The sequence below is a fragment of the Homo sapiens genome, chromosome 5, assembly GCF_000001405.40.
Source record: "Homo sapiens chromosome 5, GRCh38.p14 Primary Assembly".
Taxonomy (NCBI): domain Eukaryota; kingdom Metazoa; phylum Chordata; class Mammalia; order Primates; family Hominidae; genus Homo; species Homo sapiens.
This window is the reverse complement of record NC_000005.10, coordinates 119,530,540-119,553,984: the sequence shown is the minus strand read 5'-3', so window position 1 is coordinate 119,553,984 and position 23,445 is coordinate 119,530,540. Positions and strand designations below refer to the sequence as shown.

At 36.4% G+C, this 23,445-nt stretch overlaps 1 protein-coding gene and 1 pseudogene across 14 annotated transcripts in view, besides 1 other annotated feature; one reads left to right on the top strand and one right to left on the bottom strand.

Moving 5' to 3' along the window:
* RPL21P58 (ribosomal protein L21 pseudogene 58) lies at positions 6,340-6,886 on the top strand (annotated as a pseudogene).
* The window catches only part of HSD17B4 (hydroxysteroid 17-beta dehydrogenase 4), an 89,836-nt gene continuing 78,043 nt past the window's right edge, over positions 11,653-23,445 (bottom strand). For all 14 annotated transcript variants that reach the window (NR_164654.1, NR_164653.1, NM_001374503.1 and 11 more), the window contains 3 exons: positions 22,581-22,719; positions 17,435-17,562; positions 11,653-12,080 (listed from right to left, as the gene is read on the bottom strand). Coding sequence is in view for 12 of the 14 variants with exons in the window: in NM_001374503.1 (NP_001361432.1) it covers positions 11,991-12,080; positions 17,435-17,562; positions 22,581-22,719 (357 nt within the window). In the remaining 2 variants the exon portion in view is untranslated. The remainder of the gene's footprint in view (positions 12,081-17,434; positions 17,563-22,580; positions 22,720-23,445) is intronic.
* Positions 15,779-15,858: an enhancer, noted in NCBI's record as "active region_22990". NCBI's record gives its function as "activates an Ori minimal core promoter by ATAC-STARR-seq in GM12878 lymphoblastoid cells {active_cell/tissue: GM12878}" and the evidence as "EXISTENCE:reporter gene assay evidence [ECO:0000049][PMID:35858748]".

The following is a 23,445-nucleotide window of genomic DNA, read 5'->3' as shown; positions in this document are numbered from 1 at the left end:
AAACCGTGTCTCTCCCAAAAATGCAAAAATTAGCTGGGCGTGGTGGCACATGCCTGTAGTCCCAGCTACTCAGGAGGCTGAGGCAGGAGGATCACTTGAACCCAGGAGGCAGAGGTTGCAGTGAGCCAATATCATGCCACTGGACTCCAGCCTGGATGACAGAGTGAGACACTAAGAAAGAAAGAGAGTAAGAGAGAGAGAGAAAAGAAAGAAAGAGAGAGAGAGAGAAAGAAAAAGAAAGAAAGAAAGAGAAAAAAGGAAGGAAGGAAGGAAGGAAAGAAGGAAGGAAGGAGTCGAATAGGAAGAGAGAAAGTCAAACTCTCTCTTTTGCGGATGACATGATCATATATCAGAAAATCCCATTGTCTCGGCCCAAAAGCTCCTTAGGCTGATAAGCAACTTCAGCGAAGTCTCAGGATACAAAATCAACATGCAAAAATCACAAGCATTCCTATACACCAACAAAAGACAAGCAGAGAGCCAAATCATGACTTAACTCTCATTCACAATTGTTACAAAGAGAATAAAATACCTAGGAATACAGCTAACAAGGGATATGAAGGAACTCTTCACGAAGAATTACAAAGCACTGCTTTGTAATAAGCACTGCTTTGTAATAAGTATTTGCTTTGAAATAAGAGGGGACACAAACAAATTGAAAAACATCCTATGCCCATGGATACAAAGAATGAATATTGTGAAAATGGTCATACCGAACAAAGTAATTTATAGATTTAATGCTACTCCCATTCAACTACCATTGACATTCATCACAGGATTAGGAAAAACTACTTTAAAATTCATATAGAACCAGAAAAGAGCCCGTATAGCCAAGACAACCCTAAGCAAAGAGATGCTGGAGGCATCATGTTACCTGATTTCAAACTACACTACAAGGCAAACATGAACCTGATCACAACAGCATGGTACTGGTACCAAAACAGATACATAGACCAATGGAAGAGAATAGAGACCTCAGTAATAAGACCACACATCTATAACCATTTGATCTTCGACAAACCTGAGAAAAACAAGCAATGGGGAAAAGATTCCCTATTTAACAAACGGTGCTGGGGGTGCTGGCTAGCCATATGTAGAAAATGGAAACTGGACCCCTTTCTTACACCTTATATAAAAATCAACTCAAGATGGATTAAAGACTTAAATATCAAAACCCAAACTATAAAAACCCTAAAGAAAATCTAGGCAATACCATTCAGAACAGAGGCACAGGCAAGGATTTCATGATGAAAACACCAAAAGCAATTGCAACAAAAGTAAAAATTGATGAATGGAATCCAATTAAACTAATGAGCTTCTGCACAGCAAAAGAAACTATCATCAGAGTGAACAGACAACCTACAGAATGGGAGAAAATTTTTGCAATCGCTCCATTTGACAAAGGTCTAATATCCAGAATCTATAAGGAACTTAAGCAAATTTACAAGAAAAAAACAACTCCATCAAAAAGTGGGCAAAGGATATGAATAGATACTTTTCAAAAGAAGACATACATGGGGCCAACAAACATGCAAAAAAGCTCAGCATCACTGATCATTAGAGAAATGCAAATCAAAACCACAATGAGATACCATCTCACAACAGTTAGAATTGTGATTATTAAAAAGTCAAGAAACAACAGATGCTGGGGAGGCTGTGGAGAAATAGGAAGGCTTTTACACTGTTGGTGGGAGCGTAAATTAGTTCAACCATAGGGGAAGACAGTGTGGTGATTTCTTAAAGACCTAAAACCATAAACACCATTTGACCCAGCAATGCCATTACTGGGTATATACCCCAAGGAATATAAATCATTCTATTATCTGTGCACATTTATGTTCATTGCGGCGCTATTCACAATAGCAAAGACATGAAATCAACCAAAATGCCCATCAATTATAGACTGGATAAAGAAAATATGGCATATATACACAATGGAATACTATGCAGCCATAAAAAGGAATGAGATCATGTCCTTCGCAAGGACATGGATGGAGTTGAAAGCCATTATCCTCAGCAAATAACACAGGAAGAGAAAACCAAACACCGCATGTTCTCACCTGTAAGTGGGAGCTGAACAATGAGAACATATGAACACAGGGAGGGGAACAACACAAACTGAGGCTTGTCAGGGGAGGCAGGTAGAGGGAGAGCATCAGGAAAAATAGCTAATGCATGCTGGGCTTCATACCTAGGTGATGGGTTGATAGGTGCAGCAAACCACCATGGCACATGTTTACCTATGTAACGAACCTGCACGTCCTGCATATGTATTCCAGAACTTAAAATAAAATTAAATTAAAAGCAAATGATGCTGAATTTTAAGTGCTTTTTCCAAATCTATGGAGATAATATAAATTTTTCTCCTTGTCCCCAGTAGCTCACCATGATCAAATAGCGGTTAGTACTCTGCATCGCAATCTATTAATGTGATTAATCCTATTAATGGAGTTTCTAATATTGAACCATAAGGGGTACGCTTTTAATGTGCTATTAGACACTTTTTTTAAAGGCCATTAGTCCATACTTTCTTTTGATTCTGTCACCTTTGAAGTTTTAGTATTGTTATTATATCAACTTAATGGACAAACATGGCAGCTCTCATTCCGTGCCCTCCAGAACAACAGAAGTAAGATTGGCATTTTCTGTTCATTAAGGGTTTGGCTGAATTCACATGTGAATCTGAGGCTTAGGAACTCAGGGAGAATAGTCGTTTCTCAAACTTTCTCAAATTCTATTTTTCTTCTTCTTGAGACAGGGTCTCACTCTATCATGGGTTGGGGTGCAACGGCATGATTACAACTCACTGCAGCCTCCACCTCCTGGGCTCAATTGATCCACCTGCCTCAGCTTCCCCAGTAGCTAGGACTACAGGCATGTGCCAGGCTGGCAATTTTTTTCATTTTTTGGAGAAAAGAGTTTCACTATGTTGCCTAGGCTGGTCTTGAATTCCTGGATTCAAATGATCCTCCCACCTCAGCCTCCCAAAGTGCTGGGATTACAGGTGCGAGCCACAATGGCCAGCCTCAAATTCTTTTATGTCAAGCCATCTGTTTAGATTTTCTATTTTGTGTCAATGATGTAAAAAAATCATTAAATTTATACAGCATTTGAAGTTCATTGGCATACAGTTAAGCAAAATACTCTCCTTTTTAAAAATTAATTAGGTAAGATTGTGAGTTAGCTATTTATTACACTTTGTAAAGATCAGCCTGTTGATTTGTTTGTTCATTTAATTATTTATTTACGCTAGATTTTTTATTTTCAACTCTCTTCTTTTTCTGCTTTTATTATAAATAATTCCTTTGCTCCGCTTTCTTTGGGTTTGTTGTTTTTCTAACTTACTAAGTTGAATGCTTAATTCATTTATTTATATTCCTATAATTAGTATAAGAATTTTAAACTATGAAATTTTCCTTTGATTACTGCTTTAACTGTATCCTGCAGTGTTATACCATTTCCATATATTCCCGTATGCAGACATAATTTTATAAAATAAATGTAATAATATGCAAGCTTTGTTAATATACCTTTTTCCTTCTCCTTTTGCTTGGTCTCCCTTTCTCCCTCCACTCCTCTCCCCTCCACTATAATCACCATACCCTAACTGCCACGGTAATCTTTGCTAACGACATAATGTGTTGGGATACATTTTTCCTATAGTGAAAAATCTTTCTCCGTCATTCTGCTTTAGGTGTGTATTATTTTATAGCATATAGTTGAATTTTCTTTTTTTATGTCACTATTGTATTTTCCCAATATTTAAATTGCAAAAATGTTTGAAAATACAGTAAACCTGAAAGAATTTTACACTAAGCACCTCTATAACCACCTCCTGAATAATTAACGTTGTACTATTGTTACCAGTGGAGGGTGTCCAGGTACTTGGCGTTTTGAACAAAGAATTGGACAAAATGCACAAAGCAAGGAAAAAATGAAGCAACAAAAGCAGAGATTTATTGAAAACAAAAGTACACTCCACAGGCTGGGAGTGGGCTTGAAGATAGGGGCTCAAAAGCCCTTTTACAGAATTTTCTGGGGCTTAAATACCCTCTAGAGGTTTCCCATTGGTTACTTGGTGTGCGCCCTATGGAAATGAAGATGGCACACAACTACTTCAGAGCCTGAAGTGAAGTTACAAAGGTTACACCCTACGCAAGCATGTGATTGGTTGTGGAAAGCAACCAAACAGAGGCTAAAGTGAAGTTACAAAGTTATACTTCTATGCAAACGAAGACTGGGCCTGCAGTCAGTCTGATTGGTTGTGGAAAGCAACCAATCAGAGGCTGAAGTGAAGTTACAAAGTTACACAAACTTACAAAGTTACACTCCTATGCAAATGTCCGATTGATTGCAGAAAGCAACCAATCACAGATATTTTCAATTTTCCATCTGCCACGCAGAAAAAGGCGGGGAGGGGTTGCAAAGGGAGTAGTCTCCATTTTTTTTGTTACTTATGTGTGGAAAGTTGGGGTTTTCCTTTTGATTTAGTTCTAGGAAGTCAGCGTGAATTGGCCTTAGGTTCCTTGCCTCCAGACTCCATTTTTCTGCCTCATTACGCTTGTGGCGTCACATCTGTCCATCTGTCTATCCCTCTATACATCCCTCTTATTTTTTTATGCATTTCAAAGTAAATTGCAGATATCAGTGCACTTTATCCTTTAGTGCTTTGGCAAGCATATCATGGATGAGAGTTTAATATTTGTTTATAGTTTTTTCTCTTAAGAAAAATTTATATATACAATCAAAGGTATAAATCTTCAGTGTAAAACTCAATGTGTTTTGACAAATGTATTTACCTGTGTAATGCAAATTCCTATTCAAGATGTAGGATATAACTACCAGAGTTCTCTCATGGTCCTTCCCAAGCAATCCAACCTTTCCTCCTCAGTGCAACTACTTTCTGAACTTTTCCACCATATTTTAATTTTCTTGTTCTAGAATGCCATATACTTTTTTTTCTTGTTTTTGAGATGGAGTCTCGCTCTGTCTCCCAGGCTGGAGTGCAGTGGCACGATCTCGGCTCACTGCAAGCTCCGCCTCCCGGGTTCATGCCATTCTCCTGCCCCAGCCTCCCGAATAGCTGGGACTACAGGCGCCCGCCACCACGCCTGGCTGATTTTTTGTATTTTCAGTAGAGACGGGATTTCACTGCGTTAGCCAGAATGGTCTTGATCTCCTGACCTCGTGATCCGCCTACCTTGGCCTCCCAAAGTGCTGGAATTACAGGCGTGAGCCACCGCGCCTGGTCATTCAGTATATTTTTGAGACTTATTCATGCTGCTTAACTATTTATTTTAGAGATGTAGGGGCAGTGGCTCTTCACAGGCATGATCATTGCACACTGCAGCCTCGAGCTCCTGGGCTTAAGCGATCTTCCTGCCTCAACCTCCTAAGTAGCTGTGACTACATGTGCACACCACTGAACCTGGCTTGTTAACTTTTTAAATGGTTGAGTAGAATCCCACTGTATCATATACCATCATCTGTTTATCCATTCCCTAGTGGATGGATTTTAGCTATTAAAAACAAAACTGTTGTAAAAATTCTTATATAAGCCTTTTTGTAATATGTTTTCATTTCTCTTGAGAAAGTAGCTAGAAATTGAATTGACTCACAGGAAAAGTGTATACTAGTTATAAAAAAAAATGCTAAAACTTTTTTCTAGACTGGTCATACCATTTTACACTGCTACCAGTGTATAAGACTTCCAGTTGATCCACATGCTTACCAAGATTTGGTATTGTCAGTCTTTTTAACTTTAATCATCTCAGTTAGTATGTAATGGTAGCTTACTATGGTTTTCATTTTCATTTCCCTGACTTCTCATGGTGTTGAGTACTTCTAATGTGACACGTGGCATGTCCTAATCATTTGCCCATTTTTAAAAATTGGGTTATTAATGAGCCTTACTATTTTTAATATTTAAAAAACAGTGGGAAGAATGGGATAAATTGTATGCATGGTAGTTCCAACATCTCAACAAGAATCGCAAGTTGTATGCCAATCATTTTGTTTCATTAATATACTTTATTTGGTTTAAAGATTATGAGATAGAAAGAGCCTTAAAGGAACAGGAAGCATATGAAAAGACAAGTTAAATGATGAGCAAAGTGACTTAAAATAGCTATTCTCTAATGGTGAAAATTTTACGTGAACATATTTAAATAAGAATGGCAAAAACAAAGCTCCATTAGTAAGCAAAATATAAATAAGCAACTTTTTTAAGTATTTGTTTCTTGACCCTAGTTCTGTCCCTTGACATTCATAATTGAAAAAATTTTCCTGAAAGGCATTCATACTTTCATAAATTGTTTAAGGCAAATAAATATGACAGTTCTTTCGGCTGGAACCACCATCTTCCAGTAATTCACCAAAATGATGAAGACAAAGGCAAAGAGGAGAGGCACCCGATATATGGTCTCTAAGCGTTTTAGAAAACAAGAGTTTTTCCTTTGGCCATGTATATGCAAATCTATAAGAAAGGTGATATTGTAGACATCAAGGGAATGGGTACTGCTCAAAAAGGAATGCCCCACAAGTGTTATCATGGCAAAACTGGAAGAGTCTACAATGTTACCTGGCATGCTGTTGGCCTTATTGTAAACAAACAAGTTAAAGGCAAGATTCTTGCCAAGAGAATTAATGCGCTTATTGAACACATTAAGCACTCTAAGAGCCAAGATAGTTTCCTGAAACGCGTGAAGGAAAATAATCAGAAAAAGAAGCCAAAGACAAAGGTACCTGGATTCAACTGAAGCGCCAGTCTGCTCCACTCAGCGAAGTACACTGTGAGAACCGATGGGAAGGAGCCTGAGCTGCTGGAACTTATTCCCTATGAATTCATGGCATAGTAGGTGTTAAAAAAATAAAAGACCTCTGGACTGTAAAAATGTTTCTACTCATTGAGTAGAAGTGTGGTGTCCTCTTCCCGAAAGAAATATTTAAAGTAAATTTTAATTGTCTTTATCCATTGAGTAATGTCTTTACTATTCCAATTTAATGTATTTCTTGCTCAAAGAGGTGAGGTGGCTTACTGTGGAACATATTACTCAATTGGTTAGAAAACAGCCAGATATTATTTATGAAATATTTGTACTGGTTTGAAGATAGTCCCACTAAATCATCATGGAAGAAATAAAATAATTTACAAAAATTTTTTAAAAATTAAATTTTTAAAAAAAATAAAGCTGACAGTTGAAAATTTTGTTTTCTAAACCAGTGGCTCTCAGCACCTATATCCAGTTTCCACCCTGCAAGCTAAATCCAGTTCCTAGCCTGTTTTTTGTCCAGCTAGCAAACTAAGAATGGCTTTTTCAATTTTAGGTTTTTCTTTTTGTTTTGTTTTTTTTTTAAGAAATACGGTACAGAGACCAAATGTGGCCCACAACGCCAAAAGTCTTTACTGTGTGGCCCTTTACGGAAAATGTATGCTGACCCCTGATTTAACCCATCATTGTTCTTTACTGACAGTCCTGTAACTTCAAGAGATTAAGGTGTATAGAGCTGTTCAACCTCACTTCAAATGACACTTCTTAGTCTGTTTTCTGGGTTAATTTTATGACTTCTTCCATGCTGCCTACAAAAACTACCCCCAGCCAGTGCTCCCTGCAACAACACATGGTTCTTTCTACTTGACTGTTTTTCCATTCTTGTGAGCTGTAGGCTTAAAAGTTATGTAACCAAGCTTCTTAAAAGATGGATTTTGAATGAAGCTACAAACAGATCTTACATGGTTAAATTTTGAATTTTAGTGCCTCAACACTCGGCAATCTCAGGTTATCTTTTTTTTTAAGCTACGTTAACCCTGATGTCTAGAAATCACTTAATTGGGCAACTTCAACCAACATACCATGTATACATGTAATATAAATCTAGACTCATTTTTAGCTAAGGCTTGCAATTTCTGTATTTTGCCTATTTATGCATTGTAAAATAGGTTATTTTCTATCCTCTCCCCTCATAAAAATAGCTTAGTCCACATTGACCTAAAATGTTCTTCTCTTCAGAAAATCACTTTCCATAACTGTCAGCTTTTGAAGTTTCTGAACTTCAGAATTTCTCAGTGGAACTGGATTATCTTTCAGTTTTTCTGCTTTATTTGTTGACCTAACAGGCAAAGTTAAAATGTTGGGGTAATACTATTCAAATCTATTTATTTCCAATGAAAAAAAAATCAGCTTTCTTATTGTTTGCTTTAAAATATATACAAAGTTCTGTGAGAAGTCAAGAGATTATTCTGTTAGGATCGATTGAGAACAGTCTCACACAGGTGACACTTGGAAGGCTTAGGGATATATAGTTTACCTGATGTTAAGGTAAAGAAGCAAATTAAGAGAGCTAAAGAACCTGTGGGGTGGATATTTGAGATATGGCTTTCCAGTCCTCCAAATTTCCTGATATCACACCTGATTTGCTCTTAGGCCATGTGGCTTGGTTGGGGCTGATCCTATCAGTGTAGAAAAAGAGCTAACAAAGCAGACCTTGAGCCTGCTGCCCTTAGAATGCTTCTGAGGTTGATGCCTGGCTGGTATCTGGGAACTTAAATTTTGGGAAGCTTCCCACCATTCCCTCACTGAGTGGCTCTCTGTGCCATGTTTGTACAAACAACGTGGTTTATGCTAAACACCTGCTTTCCTCCTGAGTCTGGAATTTGGGGATGTGTTCAGGTAGAGGAGCCCATGTGAATAAGACCCCAGTAAAAACCTAGGGAACTGACTCTCTAAATGAACTTCACTGGTAGTCAAAGGAAATCACAAAATAGACAAGTAGAAGTCAGATTAACAGGTTCATTAAGAAGTTAATATATTTCTCATTGAAAGGTAAGAAGAATTAAGGAAGATGGGGCATTTGATAATATTAAATATTACAGAAGGGTTAAGGAGCATGACTGATAAGTTGCCAAATTTGGATATGAGTAGTTCTCTGACCATAAATATTGACAGAGATGTGTAAGAAAATTAAAACATAACTTCCTTAAGTTTTAAGTATCTAGGGTATATAATCAACACTTTCATTAATATACAGTGGCATTTATTTTAATATGCTATTTCTATTGGACACGAAAGCTTTCCCAAGCTCAATATAAACAACTATTTAGTACAATAATAGACCAACATTAAAAATACTGCCATTGACTATTCACAATAGCAAAGACTTGGAACCAACCCAAATGTCCAACAATTAACTCAATTAATTCAATTGGTATAACAACAGATCACTCTGAAATAAATTTAAAAATACTATACAGTTCATGAGACAAAGGCATAATTGCCAAAAATATAATTTCTTCCTATGCCTTCTACTTATTCTGTTCACTCATTAAAATAAGTAACATATTGAGGTCTTCTACTGTTCCATCACTGTTCTAAGTATCACAGTTCCAAATTTCTGAAACCTTCTCCCCTGATCCCTGAATTTGCATTCTTGTTTCCTCAAATAAAGTGTGCTGAGTTCTACAAAGCCCCATCAGGATTGAAAGACATATTCCTCAGCATGATACTGGTACAAAACAGACATACTGAGCAACGTAACTAAACAGGGAACTCAGAAATAAGACTGCCCACCTACAGCCATCTGATCTTTATGAAACTTGACAAAAACAAGCAATGGAAAAAAGATTCTCTAATAGGTTTAATAAATGATGCTGTGAGTGCTGGTTAGCCACATGCAGAAAATTGAAACTGGACCCCTTTCTTACACCTTATACAAAAACCAACTCAAGATGGGTTACAGACTTAAATTTAAAAACCCAAAACTATAAACCCTAGAAAAAAATCTAGGCAATAACATTCAGGGCATAGGCATGGGCAAAGATTTCATGACAAAAACGCCAAAAGCAATTGCAATAAAAGCAAAAACTGGCTAATGAGATCTAATTAAACTAAAGAGCATCTGCACAGCAAAAGAAACTATCATCAGAGTGAACAGACAACCTACAGAATGGGAGAAAATTTTTGCAATCTATCCATCTGACAAAGGTCTAATACCCATAGTCTACAAGGAACCTAAACAAATGTACAGGAAAAAAACAACCCAACTAAAAAGTGGGCAAAGGACATGAACAGATACTTCTCAAAAGAAGACACACATGTGGCCAACAAACATGAAAAAAAGTTCAACATCACTGATCATTAGAGAAATCAAATCACAATGAGATACCATCTCATGCCAGTCAGAATGGCGATTACTAAAAAATCAAGAAACAATAGATGCTGGTGAGGCTGTGAATAAATAAGAACACTTTTACACTGCTGGGGGGAGTATAAATTAATTCAACCATAGTGGAAGACAGTGTGGCAATTCCTCAAAGACTTAGAGGCAGAAATACCATTTGACCTAGCAATCCCATTACTGGGTATTTACCCAGAGGAATATAAATTATTCTATTATAAAGGTACACGCATATAAATGTTCACTGCAGCACTATTCACAACAGCAAAGACATGGAATCAACCCAAATGCCCATCAATGATAGACTGGATAAAGAAAATGTGGTAGCTATATACAATGGAATACTCTGCAGCCATAAAAAGGAGTGAGATCATATCCTTTGCAGGGACATGGATGGAGCTGGAGGCCATTATCCTTAGCAAACTAACGCAGGAACAGAAAACCAAACACCGCATGTTTTCACTTATAAGAGGGAACTGAATGATGAAAACACATGGACACATGGTGGGGAACAACTCACACTGGGGCCTGTTGCAGGGGTGAAGGTGGGAGGAGGGAGAGCATCAGCATGAATAGCTAATGGATGCTGGGCTTAATATCTAGGTGATGGTATGAGCTGTGCAGCAAACCACCACGGCACATGTTTACCTATGTAACAAACCAGTACATCCTGCACATGTACCCCTGAACTTAAAAGTTTTAAGGAAAAAAAAAAAGACATATTCCCCCAACTGCTGGGCAAGCCAACTCCAGGAATTGCTCTGCCGCTTTGACCAAGGTCATGGCCCCCTTGCAGGGCAGGTCATAACCAATGACTACTTGCCTCAGGACAATTCTGAATGGCCATCCCAGCTTCAGAGCTCCCCAAAAGATCAGTCCAGGCCTTATGGTAACTGCAACCACAGCCTAATGTCTCCATCTGCCCAGCTCTGCTTCCTTTGCTTCTCCTGGCAGGTGCTGCTCATAAAAGCACCTCCCAAATCAACTTCCTGCACATGAATCTCCATCTGAAAGTCAGCTTCCTGGGAAACTCAGCCCATACTAGCCACCCACACATATTCTCCTCAGCTGTGTTACCTGATTGAAATTTACTCCATCTCTGAGCTTAGCATACCACCTGCTGCTGGTCACCTCTGCAGCCAACTCATCCAAAGAGCATCTCCCAGTGCACTTCATCAGAGCTAAATGCTGAGGAAAACAGTGATGTGGCAGTACTTGCTAGTGACTATCTTTCTGTTTTGAGACTGCTGATTCTTCAAGAAAGCTACACTTGGTAGATTTATAAACATTATATGTAGTAAAGAATTTCCAGCAAAGGGGAGGGGAGAAGAAAGAAAACTATTTGGGAGCACAAAGACTTTTCTCTTGCTTTAAAAGAGAATACTATCAGAACAAAGTATGAAAAATGAGTGCATACATGGAAATTCACATAAAAACTGGGGTATCAATAAATAAAAAAACAGAAAATCACAAAAAAACAAAGGTATCAAAGGCCTTTATTGATTTAATTTTCCTTTCAACTTATCAATGCTATCACAAATTCTAAGGAAACAGGACTTGGGCAAAATTTTTTATTATGAAGATACAGATCTAAGAACAGAAGGATAATTATGTGCTAGCTTATATATAGTTCCTTGTAAAAATAATGATACATGAAAAATTAGTAGAAAATGAAAATCTGCAGTTATCTGATATCTGAAAATGTTAAGCAATTTCCCCTGCATCTTAGTTCTAATCACTTTTGCAGAATAATCAAGCATATTTGGGTGAAGAGAGTATTTAATGATTCCATTTTTATTAATAGTGTAGTGTGCCCTTCAGAGCTTGGCGTAGTCTTTAAGAATCATCTGAAGTTTCTGGCTCAGCATGATGTTCCCTCTGGCCTTCAGCCTGCCACTAAAGAATGCCTGCAAGGAGAGGAGGGAAAAAGAGTGCCAACTGTTACCATGTTATAGTTTATTTCTTTTTTTTTTTTTTAAGATTATTCAGACTGAATACAATTGAGCTAATAATTCTGGACAACAAAGGCAACCTTTATTTAGCAATGACAATTTAATAACTACAGATAGCACATTTTTTTAGACATCTAAAAAAAAGAAAAATCATTCCTGTGTATTTTAGAAAACTATACAATAATTTATCTGAACTCATGGATCTGGGAGTTCTGTTTCAACCTACGTTTCTGGCTTTACTTTATGTTCTTACAATTTGAGACCATATTAATAAAAGGCTACACTGTATTCCTAATAAAAATATTCAATTCAGAACTTCTAAAAGCAGATTTAAAATATTTACTACAGTTTCATGAACTAGAAAGCCACGAAATGACAAATTAGAGAATATAACACAATGTTGAATAGATCACAGCTGTAGCATCAGAATGCCTGAGTTAAAATCCAGGCTGTGCCCCTTAATAGCAAGGTGAGCTTGAGAAAATGCTTAGATACGTGGCCTCTGTGAGTTTCAATCTCCTCATCTATAAAAGGCATAACAACAGTCCCTAAATAACACAACTCTGTTGTGCGTGTTAAATAAAGTAATGTGTAGAGTGCTTAGCTTAGTAGTTTGACATGTGATAAGAGAGTATTAATTCATCATTACCAAGCAAAAGCTGGTGTGTTAAAAACGAAGGGTTCCTGTAGCAGTTTTGTATCTAACCTGATACAGAAACTGGTGCAAGTTCCTTAAGTTCTCCTTCAGTGTAAATTCCCTATCAGTAAAATAAAAATAATCAATCATAGTTTTTATAGCTTACATAAAATATGAAGTGAAAAAGCCTCTAGATTTCTAGCTAAATGGAAAAAATAGTGATACCTACATACACTGAGCATTACAAAGCAGCTCCACAAATATAATCTCATTTAAGAATTACAGCTGTCAATTTGAAGTGGGCACATCAGCAGTTCTTACCCCAGTTGACAGATGAGAAACTGAATTTCAGAGAGCTTATTAAATAACCTGCTCAAGTCTACAGAGCCAGCAAGAAGTAGGGCCAGGGCTTAAACTCAGGTGTTCTTTGCTCAGCAATGCTTGTTAACAATACTTGTTAACGAGCAGCACTTAGTCTCAGAAGCAAACCCTCGTGAACTGGAGAAAAGGCAACAACTTTTTATTCCAGAAATAGTCAGAGAGAGCTCATTCAGTCACAATCAAATGCATTCAAACAGGAGACCAGAATTTCAAAACTAAGATTTCTTTCACTATGCAGTTACAAAAAACAAACAAACAAAACGATGGTCTGCAACTCATGCAGGGAAGGAGTCAGTACTTAGGCCAGCCTGCTATGTACTAAACTCTGAAAGAGATTTACAACCTAAAACAAGAACACCTAATTACTAGAAGTAAAAATATCAATTTTGGACATTTTTGAGCAGAAGAATTTTGTACATAAATCTTTCCTCCTATCTATTTTCTTATTTCTTAAAGCCCTTAACCATACGTCCATATTGCCAGTTTCCAAACTCTGCACTGCCATGCACCGGACATCACAGCAAACTCTCTCAGGGACACTTTCCCAATACTGTTAATTTGGGAGGGAAATACAGTCATACTGGTTGAACACAAAAAACTAATTGTTTTGAACTACTTCATAAATGAAACTGTTAGGTATATGGTTTGGCCTAGGAGTGCCATGCAAAAAGTAGTAAGACTATAAACTGCCATAAAGGAAGAAGGTCTGGAAGCACTGTGCTTTCCAGAAAGGCTATACCAACTACTGATTGATTGACACAGGGTCTTGCTCTGTCACCCAGGCTACAGCTGCATGATCACACTCACTGCAGCCTAAGCCTCCTGGGCTCAAGTGATCCTCCCAACTCAGCCTCTCAAGTAGCTGGGACTACAGGTGTGTGCCACCACACCAGGCTAATTTTTTTTTTTTTTTTTTTTTGGTAGAGACAGGGTCTCACTGTCTCACCCAGGCTCAAACTCCTGGACTCAAGCAATCCTCCTGCCTTGGCCTCCCAAAGTGCTGGAACTACAGGCACGAGACATTGTCCCTGGCCTATACCAATTTTATATTCCCTCCAGTTGTGTGTAAATTATCTTATCCCAACCTTAAAAATACTATTTTCTTACACTTTGAAAATATGAGGCAAAAATAACATGCTTTAATTTGTATTTTTGGATACTGGGAAAAATTTTTTTCTTTTGTATGTTAGTCATTTCTATTTATTTCATTAATTATTGTTCCATACCTTTTGTCCACTTCTTCTTTTTTATTATTATTATTATACTTTAAGTTCTAGGGTACATGTGCACAATGCGCAGGTTTGTTACATATGTATACATGTGCCATGTTGGTGTGCTGCACCCGTTAACTCGTCATTTAGCATTAGGTATATCTCCTAATGCTATCCCTCCCCCCCTCCCCCAACCCCATGACAGGTCCCCGTGTGTGATGTTCCCCACCCTCTGTCCAGGTGTTCTCATTGTTCAATTCCCACATGTGAGAACATGCGGTGTTTGGTTTTTTGTCCTTGCAATAGTTTGCTGAGAATGATGGTTTCCAGCTTCATCCATGTCCCTACAAAGGACATGAACTCATCCATTTCTATGGCTGCATAGTATTCTATGGTGTGTATGTGCCACATTTTCTTAATGCAGTCTATCATTGATGGACTTTTGTCCACTTTTTCTATTGAGGTTGTAGTGCTTTCCAGAATTTTTAGAATGATACTCTGTATCATCATTTTATTTTTTTCCCTCGATTTATGGAAATATACTATAGAGTCTGACATGCAGAAGTTTCTAATTTCTATACAGCCTAAACTTCTGACATTGAACTTTCATTCCTTCTATATTTGCTTTAATCTACCTGAGTATGAATGTCTACAGTATACTAGGCAATATTCTAGGCTAGGCTGAATATCTGTCCCTGTTCTCACAGAGCTAACATTAAACTAGGGGAGTCAAAAAGTAAAATGTAAACAAATAATTAAAGCCTGTTATAAATACAATGAAGGAGAAAACAGGATGTTATCAGAATATAACAGGAAGAAACTACTTTGGATGAAATGAAGCCAGCCATGCAAACAGCTAGGAGGAGAAATTCCAGAAAAGGCAAATGCATAGACATTGAAGGAGTAAAAGCTGATGGGAAGGAACTGAAAGGAAGGACAAAATAACAACAAAATAACTAGAATTAGCATTACAGGTGATGGGGCAAGTGGCATGGGATGAAGCCTGAAAAAGGAGCAAGGGAAAGAAACATCATACACGACATGGTAACAGCTAACTTGGATTTTATACACGTGCAAAAGGAAATGCTGGAGATTTTTTATCAAATGGGATGATAAATATGAACCAGTAATTAATGAAAGTAGTAGAAATGACTAACATACATAAATAATCTAATCTGATTTACATTTTTAAAGGATTACTCTGGCTCCTGGGTGGAGAACAACAGACTGAATGGGAGAGACAAGACTGGAAGAAGTAAGACAGGTGAGAGATGACAGAGGCTAGGATCACAGTGATATCCCTAGAGAGGAAGAGAAGATGAATTCAAGATATATTTTGGAGAAAGATCAGACAGAAGTAAGGAAGGAAAGGATACAGAAGGGCAGAAGGAATCTAAGATAATTTTTACATTTCTGGGCTTATTAATTTGGGTAAATAGATGATGGTGCCACTAATTAAGAAGGAAGAGACTGGGGGAGAAAAATAAATCACAAGTTCTATTTTGGTCACAGTAAGTTTGACATGCCAGAAAGTTTCCCATCAGAGTGGTCAAGTAGAGGGATGGTTCTCTCACTGTGGAGCTCAGAGAAGACTAAGTGGAGCCAAGTTCCTCGCACGGCAGGCCTTTGTATTAGTTGTTTCCTTAGTCTGATGACTCATTCTGATACTCTGTTCAAATCTCTGTCAGGCATTTCAGGTACCTTAGAAAACCCCAGAAGGTATTTTAAACAACCTATTTAAAATAGTTCCCCTGTCCTGTCACATTCTAACTCAAGGGTTGGCAAACAACAGCTGGAGAACCAGATCTAGTGGCTGTGTGTTTCTGTAAATAAAGTTTTATTGGAACACAGTCACACTCCATTGTTTACATATTCTCTATGGCTACTTTAAGGCTACAATGGCAAAGCTGAAGAGCTGCAACAGAGACCATCTTGCCCACAAAGCCTAAAATATTTACTGTGTAACCCTTTACAGAAAAAGTTTGCCAGTCATTGCTCTAACACTATACTCAGGCTTACTCTTCTCTAACTTGAGATTTTATTTCTTTTGCATTAGTACACTAAAAGAAGCTCCATACAGTAGGGTTTTGTCTTAATTCAGCCAATACCTACAACCTGAATAGGTACTAAATAAATTCCTGGAAAGAAATTAACAGAGGGTTCACTGCATTGCCAAGCACTGTACTAAGCTCTTCATACATATTATTGGGTTTAGTTCTTATAATAAGCCTTGTAAACATTAAAATTATTAAACTCATTTTACAAATGAGAAAATTAAGGTTTTTGGATGAAGTGACAGGGGCAAGATTCAAATTTAGATTTTATCTGATGCCAAAGACTACTTTTTACCTACTATACTACTTTACAATTCCTTTTAGTCTTTCTATACAGGAAAATCATATATTTCCTCATTTATTCAAATTACTCCTATGTGAAAGCTATTTTTAAATAACTGCACTCAGCCATTTGTTTGAACTCCTTCATTCTAAGAATCAATAAGTTAGTTCCCTTGGAATTTCTAGCTACATAATCACAAATTGAAAATAACAAATTTTTCTCCTCCATTCTAATTGCCACATCAATTACTTTAATTTTGTATATTTGTGGATTGGTCAAAAGTTTCATAATAATATTAACTAAATAATCGTCACAGAAGGCACTCTTCTGTTAATCATGATTTTCCACTGAAATGCCTCTAAGATTCACCCTAAGTAAGACATGGGCTATTAGGTTAAAATATCCTTCTAGTTCCAATATTCAATGATTTCTTAATCTTATTTATTGGGAATGTCTAATTTTATGTAGTACCTACTAATGTCATATGGTTTTTCACCTTTGAACACATAACAGAATATATTAAAAAATCTAGATGTGGGTTCAGTCTTAAAAAGTGTCAGGTGAAACTCCATTAAAAAAGAAATATATGACCTGTCAACCAGAGTATCAGTAGCAACTGTGTCATCTTCAGAGTTGTAAGAAACCTGGCTTATAAATCAGAATTTGGGCATCAGCTTAAAAACTGCAATTGTCAAAAGAGGAAACAATAAAACAATGAATAAATGAACATTTGAGAACATTACCTTCTGAGGGTCAAGCTTGCCCAGGACCACCTCCATGAAATCTTCATCTGAAAGTATGATTGTTGTATCAGCAGCACCTTTTGCAGGGCCTTGGTACACTTTTCCAGAACCACTTTTCAGGTCAATAGCTGGGAAAAATAGGAAGAAACCAATGTGTATCTTTTTCTCTCCAACAAAATGAGGGTAAAATAAACCAAGTAAAATGCAGACATTTCTATAGTTTCCATGTTAATGTGGCACTTATTCTACACATATTCTATCTATCAATTATACATTATCTGTCATTTAGAAAAAAAGCAAAATATAGAAATACAAGAATACAGAAATTTGAGGTAAAGAAGTGGAACTTCCAGTTCTGTAGTGGCTCAGGTCATGGTCTGCAACCACCACCATCACCTTGAGTTTATAGACACCTATAAGATCACAGCTAATCTTATTTCAGAAGTGAAGAAAGAGATTGTATTCATTTTCTCTTAGTGGCAGAATTCATTACAGGCATCTTACTGTTGATTTTTAGCTCTGTATTTATTAATAACTAAGCTTCTGAAAGAGTCCATAACAATTTCAGTCATACTTCACAGCATTTAATGAGGGAGGGGTGAGGTAACAGATGAGAATATGGCATTTGAAAACTTGGAGACCCCTGAGGATCTTATTAAGATATATACTTTACAAATCACAAAGGGTCACTACAGGAGAAAGAAGGAACTGTTTTTGTTTATGCTACCTTCCCTTAATATTAGGTCTTTGCTGGCACAAACATGTTTTGTCTTTGTATCCCCTATACTTCCTTGAAGAGAAAATACTTAGGAATTATTTGATAAATGGAAAAGCACATGAAAGAAGGATGTCTACCCCCAAAAATATATATATATATATAAAATATATATTAGTAATAACAAACACAAAGAAAAAAACCCAGGTTAAAAATTAAGTTTTTAAAAATCACACCAAGAGCATATTACTTTTGTGTTATTCCTGCCAAAAGTTCATAAACTAAAACTAAACATGAAAAAAGCATCAACTAAAAACAAACCAAGAAACAAGCTATAAAATAATTGGTCTCCAGCCTTCAAATATCTCAAAATTGGGAAAAGCAAAGACTGAGGAACTCATCCAGATTAAAGCAGACTAGAGACCTAAGAACCAAATGTAATGTATAATCCCAGATGGGACCCTGATCAATTCTTTTTCTTTCTTCATTTTAGTAATGAATAATAATTATTATTGTTTTGCTATAAAGGACATTATTGGGACAATTGAAATATTAACAAGATCTGCAGATTAGCTAACATACTGCATCAATGTTAATCTCCTGATATTGATCTTTGTTGTGTGAATAGATAAGAGAATGTCTTTGTTCTTAGAAAATGCTAGTAGCATAGTCTCTTAGGCATAAAGGGACATCATGTCTGCAAGTTACTCTTAAATGCCTCAGAAGAAAAAAACACATATGATGGAAAAAAATAGTAAAGAAGATGAGATACAAATTTTAACAATTTGAGGAAACTGGATGAAAGACAAAAGTTCTCTAGTATTTTTGCAACTTTTCTATAATTCTCAAATTGTTTCAAACAAAAAAAAGTACAAAATGATGTTATTAAGATGAATAACACAGAGAAGATGGAAAGTCAGAAATTGTTTTAAATGATTTTGTGCACTTGTGTGTACTTTTGAAGATAAATGTACATGAGCACGCAGTCAGGAGCTGCTGTTAGTAAGAGAAGAAACAGTCACTGTTGCTTTGGGAATAGAGAGTAACCCTGAGGCAGATACACCTCCAACAAACAGGCCCCCATTCCTAACTGGAGAGCATATTCCTTTTCAAGGAAAATCTTTCAAGACTTTTCTATAAATGCATGAGACACTCATTTCAATCCAAATCCAATGTTTGGAACCAACACCCTTGAGATTTAGTTTATATCCAAGTTGAGAATCCTAAGCGGCAATCTGGTTTGACTGCTAGAAGATGAGCACCAACCCAGGAGCTCAGAGGTTTTAATGATCACATGGTATCCTCAAGAATTAATTATTCTGGTATCAAAAGAATGCCAGTTCCCAAACCTCTGTACATTCTTACATACTGTGGCAAATGTCTAAGATTCAAAATAGATAACCTCTAACAGTCAAAGAACATCCTCATCCAGTCACATCATCATACAGTACATATATAGTACATAATGGAGGCTTGGATTTAGTCCAGATATGCAGACTTAACTCTACACAACTAATTATAGTACGTGCCTTTTAAAACTCGGCTCATTTTATTATTTATTCAAACAAAAACAATATTCAAACAAAAATCCATAGTATCTTGCCAACTAAATGTAAATTCCACTTATGTTCCTATAATGGAAATGATTACAAACATGTGAAAGGAAACCAAATTTAAATTCAGGAGGAAAACAACCAAACTGCTCAATGCTAACCAGCTTAAACCTATCATCCTAAAGAAAACAAAACAGATTTTGCTCAGCAACATTGTATTCAACACATGGAAATAAATCTTTATAAAAAGTTTCAGTAATATTATTTTACAGGTATTGGATACATACAAACAATATATTTCTATTTGAAAGTATAGGATTGTCTTTGCCTAAAATACTGACAAATTGCATATTTAAAACCTGTGGGCCAAATTCTATGATATTCATTTTGTTTACAGACAAATGGAAATTTTAGAACCATTATTCCATAAAGTGAACAGGAACAGCAGGACCAACAAAGATTTTCCTTCCATTTTCTTCCTGCATGTCATGAAGCAAGGTGGTGAATGAAGCCAACGTTCTTGGTTCCAACTACTAATTCCTCAAATATGCTTTCCAACTCTCTGCCTCTAGCTATGAAGTTACTCTTAAATTCCAGGCCCACAGTCCCCACAATCTAGTCCAGATCTTGGTTGGCTACAGTGTTGGTACCACAACTTACCTTCTTCTCTCCCAAACCTCCCTCCTCTACCTGTTTCATACTTCTAGTAATGCAGTCAACATCCTCAAGCACACAAGCTCAAAACCACAGTATTAGTTTTGACTCTTTCTCATTCCTCTTGATTTTTAGACATAATCAGTAGCTAAGTTAGCCAATTCAATCTTAGCAATAGTTCCACATAGGCCCTCTCCTCTCCATTATTACTATTTCCTTAATTGAGGTCTTCCTTTCACTCTGCAATGCAACAACCTTTGTTTCCTCAACCCCAGTATTTCACCTTTCCTGACACACAGCCTGTAAATAATTATCCCTATGGATTTAAAAAAAAAAAAAGGCATCCTGTCAATGCATATTTGTAGTCTCCACCTAGCAGAGAACTTGGCATATAAATACTCAAATGTTCATTGAATGAACCAATCCTCCCATTCTCTGAAAGCAGAGAGCACTTTTTTCCATGTCTCTTATCACTTGTGTTCTACAAGAATTATTTATATACATGTACAGGTCCACAAGTCCTTATCTGAATGAACTGCTTCAGGCTGATGTGTTTTGGAATTTGGAATCAGATTTTAGAAAGGAAATATAATACATAAAACATGTATTCCATATTACAAAAGGCCCCCAATGGTGCAACAATCTATAAACGTGCATATTACTTCTATACTTGTCTAACTCACACTAGCTGAGTTAAAGACAATCAACAGCATCATATAAGTTCAAGTCACACTTCACCACCAGTGAATCATGAGAAAAAAAACTGTTTATTTTTAGAGCTTTTTGGTTTCTGGAGTTTCAGATAAGAGTACCTATGTTTTAATTTTCAAGAGCAGACTATTCTGTAGGCCACATAAATCCTCTGATTCTTTATCTCCCTTATGCCTTTATGTCATCTTTCATTTCCTCCGATTTTTTACCGTTGCTTAGAACAATAAAATAGGATTCAAAGGGTTTACTACAACAACTTCTGGCTGGGTTTAGAAATTAATAGTAATAAATACTATAAAATATGTTAGTTATTTATGAAATATCTCAGTATCATATTATACTTACATATTTCACTCATACTAAACAAAAAATAAACATCACTATCCATACAATAAACATTATTTTAATAGAAGGTAAAGCATCAATTTCAGAACCTTTTTTTTAAAAGGCAGCCATACTATTTTCTAAAACTATGCTTTCTACATGGCTTTTAGCACTCATTCCAACATATACAGAATCAGGCTAGTTATTATGTGTTATTGACTATACTAGAAGCTAGAAATAGACAAACTGCAGCCATTTCTCAGGATTAAGCCCAAAGTCAAATGAGAGAAAACATACAATTATAAATGACCATAATACAGTAAGATAACTGTGACAAGCAACAGACTCTGCTGAAAGGGAATTCAGGGACTTACTGCTCTACCTCCTATCCATTTTCATCTTTTCAACCTAATTGAAGAATCTCTAGGAAAATAAAGGTGAGGTTAGAATATTCCATAATTAAAGTGTGTGCCATGATTAAGGATGTGAGTTACACAGCAGATGCAAAAGATCTGACAGAATATTTTTTCTTTATTCTTTTTATCCTCTAATTTCTCTTTCTTCACAAAATGGTACCAGGGTCTCTTTGGACCTCCACATCAGTGAAAAGAAATATGACTGCTTTCTTTCTGCGGCAAGATGTTTTATATTGGGTGCATGGCACTCTAATAGATAATTTCCCTAGATTAGATAAACAAACACCTTTGACCATAATCTGTATATATCTAGAAAATAGTGATTTTATATTGATAATTAAGATAATCCAAATTATTGTTTTGGTATGAATAAAATAATTTTGTAACTGTCAAATATCATGACTTAAAAATACTTCATTTTGACTTGATGAATTTGCCTTATGTTTAAGAAGCTGAAGATTAGATAAAGATGCATATAGCCAAGATGACTGTTTAAACTACTTTCAAGGATTACAATGAAATCTTAAAACAGGTTATTTTCATTTCAATTGATTCCCTACATCTCTTACACACACACACAAACACACACACACACACACACACACACACCCCCCTTTGGACATTCCCAAACCTATTCATTCCCACGGGAAAAGAAAAAAAACTTACCTAAAAAGGTAAGATTTACCTACCTTCAAAGGTCTTTAATTGTTAAAAAGATACTTTATTTACTAAGAATTACCTTAGAATATTATAAAATCAGGGCTATAACTTACTCCACTTAGCCCCAATATTTCCGCCTTTGGTTATATGCCACTCAAATACAGCATTTACTTTCTTCACCACCTCAGGCCCAATATCCTTTAGGCGGCGTCCTATTTCCTCAAATACAAAGGTACTCTGAAGCTTCCCGCCCTAACAACGACAACAAAATAAACTTTAAAAGTTCTGTAAAAATAACTCATGGAGAAAAGTGATTATAAAACATGTGCAAAAAAAAGATTTTTTAAAACTCTGTACATAAGTCAGTTTTCTTCATACAATGTGTCTTTCATACTTTCTTATTTGTATACATCACTCAGAACCTCAGTCCTCTTAATAACAGGATTTTACTTTTATTAGAATTCAGAAATAATATTTTAAAAGAAAAATAGGAACTGGACAACCTATGTTTTAGCTAACTTTAGAAAGATCCTGATCAAATTAATCAACTTCTATGGTCTCATTTTTTTTATTTATAAAATAATACTAAATTACATGAAGTCTGAATTTCTTTACAGCTCTAAAACTTAAGTTTTGGGTTTTTTTTGTTTTTTGTTTTTTTTTTTTTTTTTTGAGACAGACTTGTCGCCCAGGCTAGAATGCAGTAGTGCAATCTTGGCTCACTGCAACCTCCACCTCCCGGGTTCCCGTGATTCTCCTGCTTCAGCTTCTTGAGTAGCTGGGATTACAGGAGCCTGCCACCAAGGCTGGCTAATTTTTGTATTTTTAGTAGAGATGGAGTCTCACCATGTTGGCCAGGCTGGTCTTGAACTCCTGACCTCAAGTGACCTAACCACTTCAGCCTCCCAAAGGGCTGGGATTACAGGCGTGAGGCACCGAGCCCGCTCTAAGTTTTTTTTTTTCTTAGACTATTCTTAA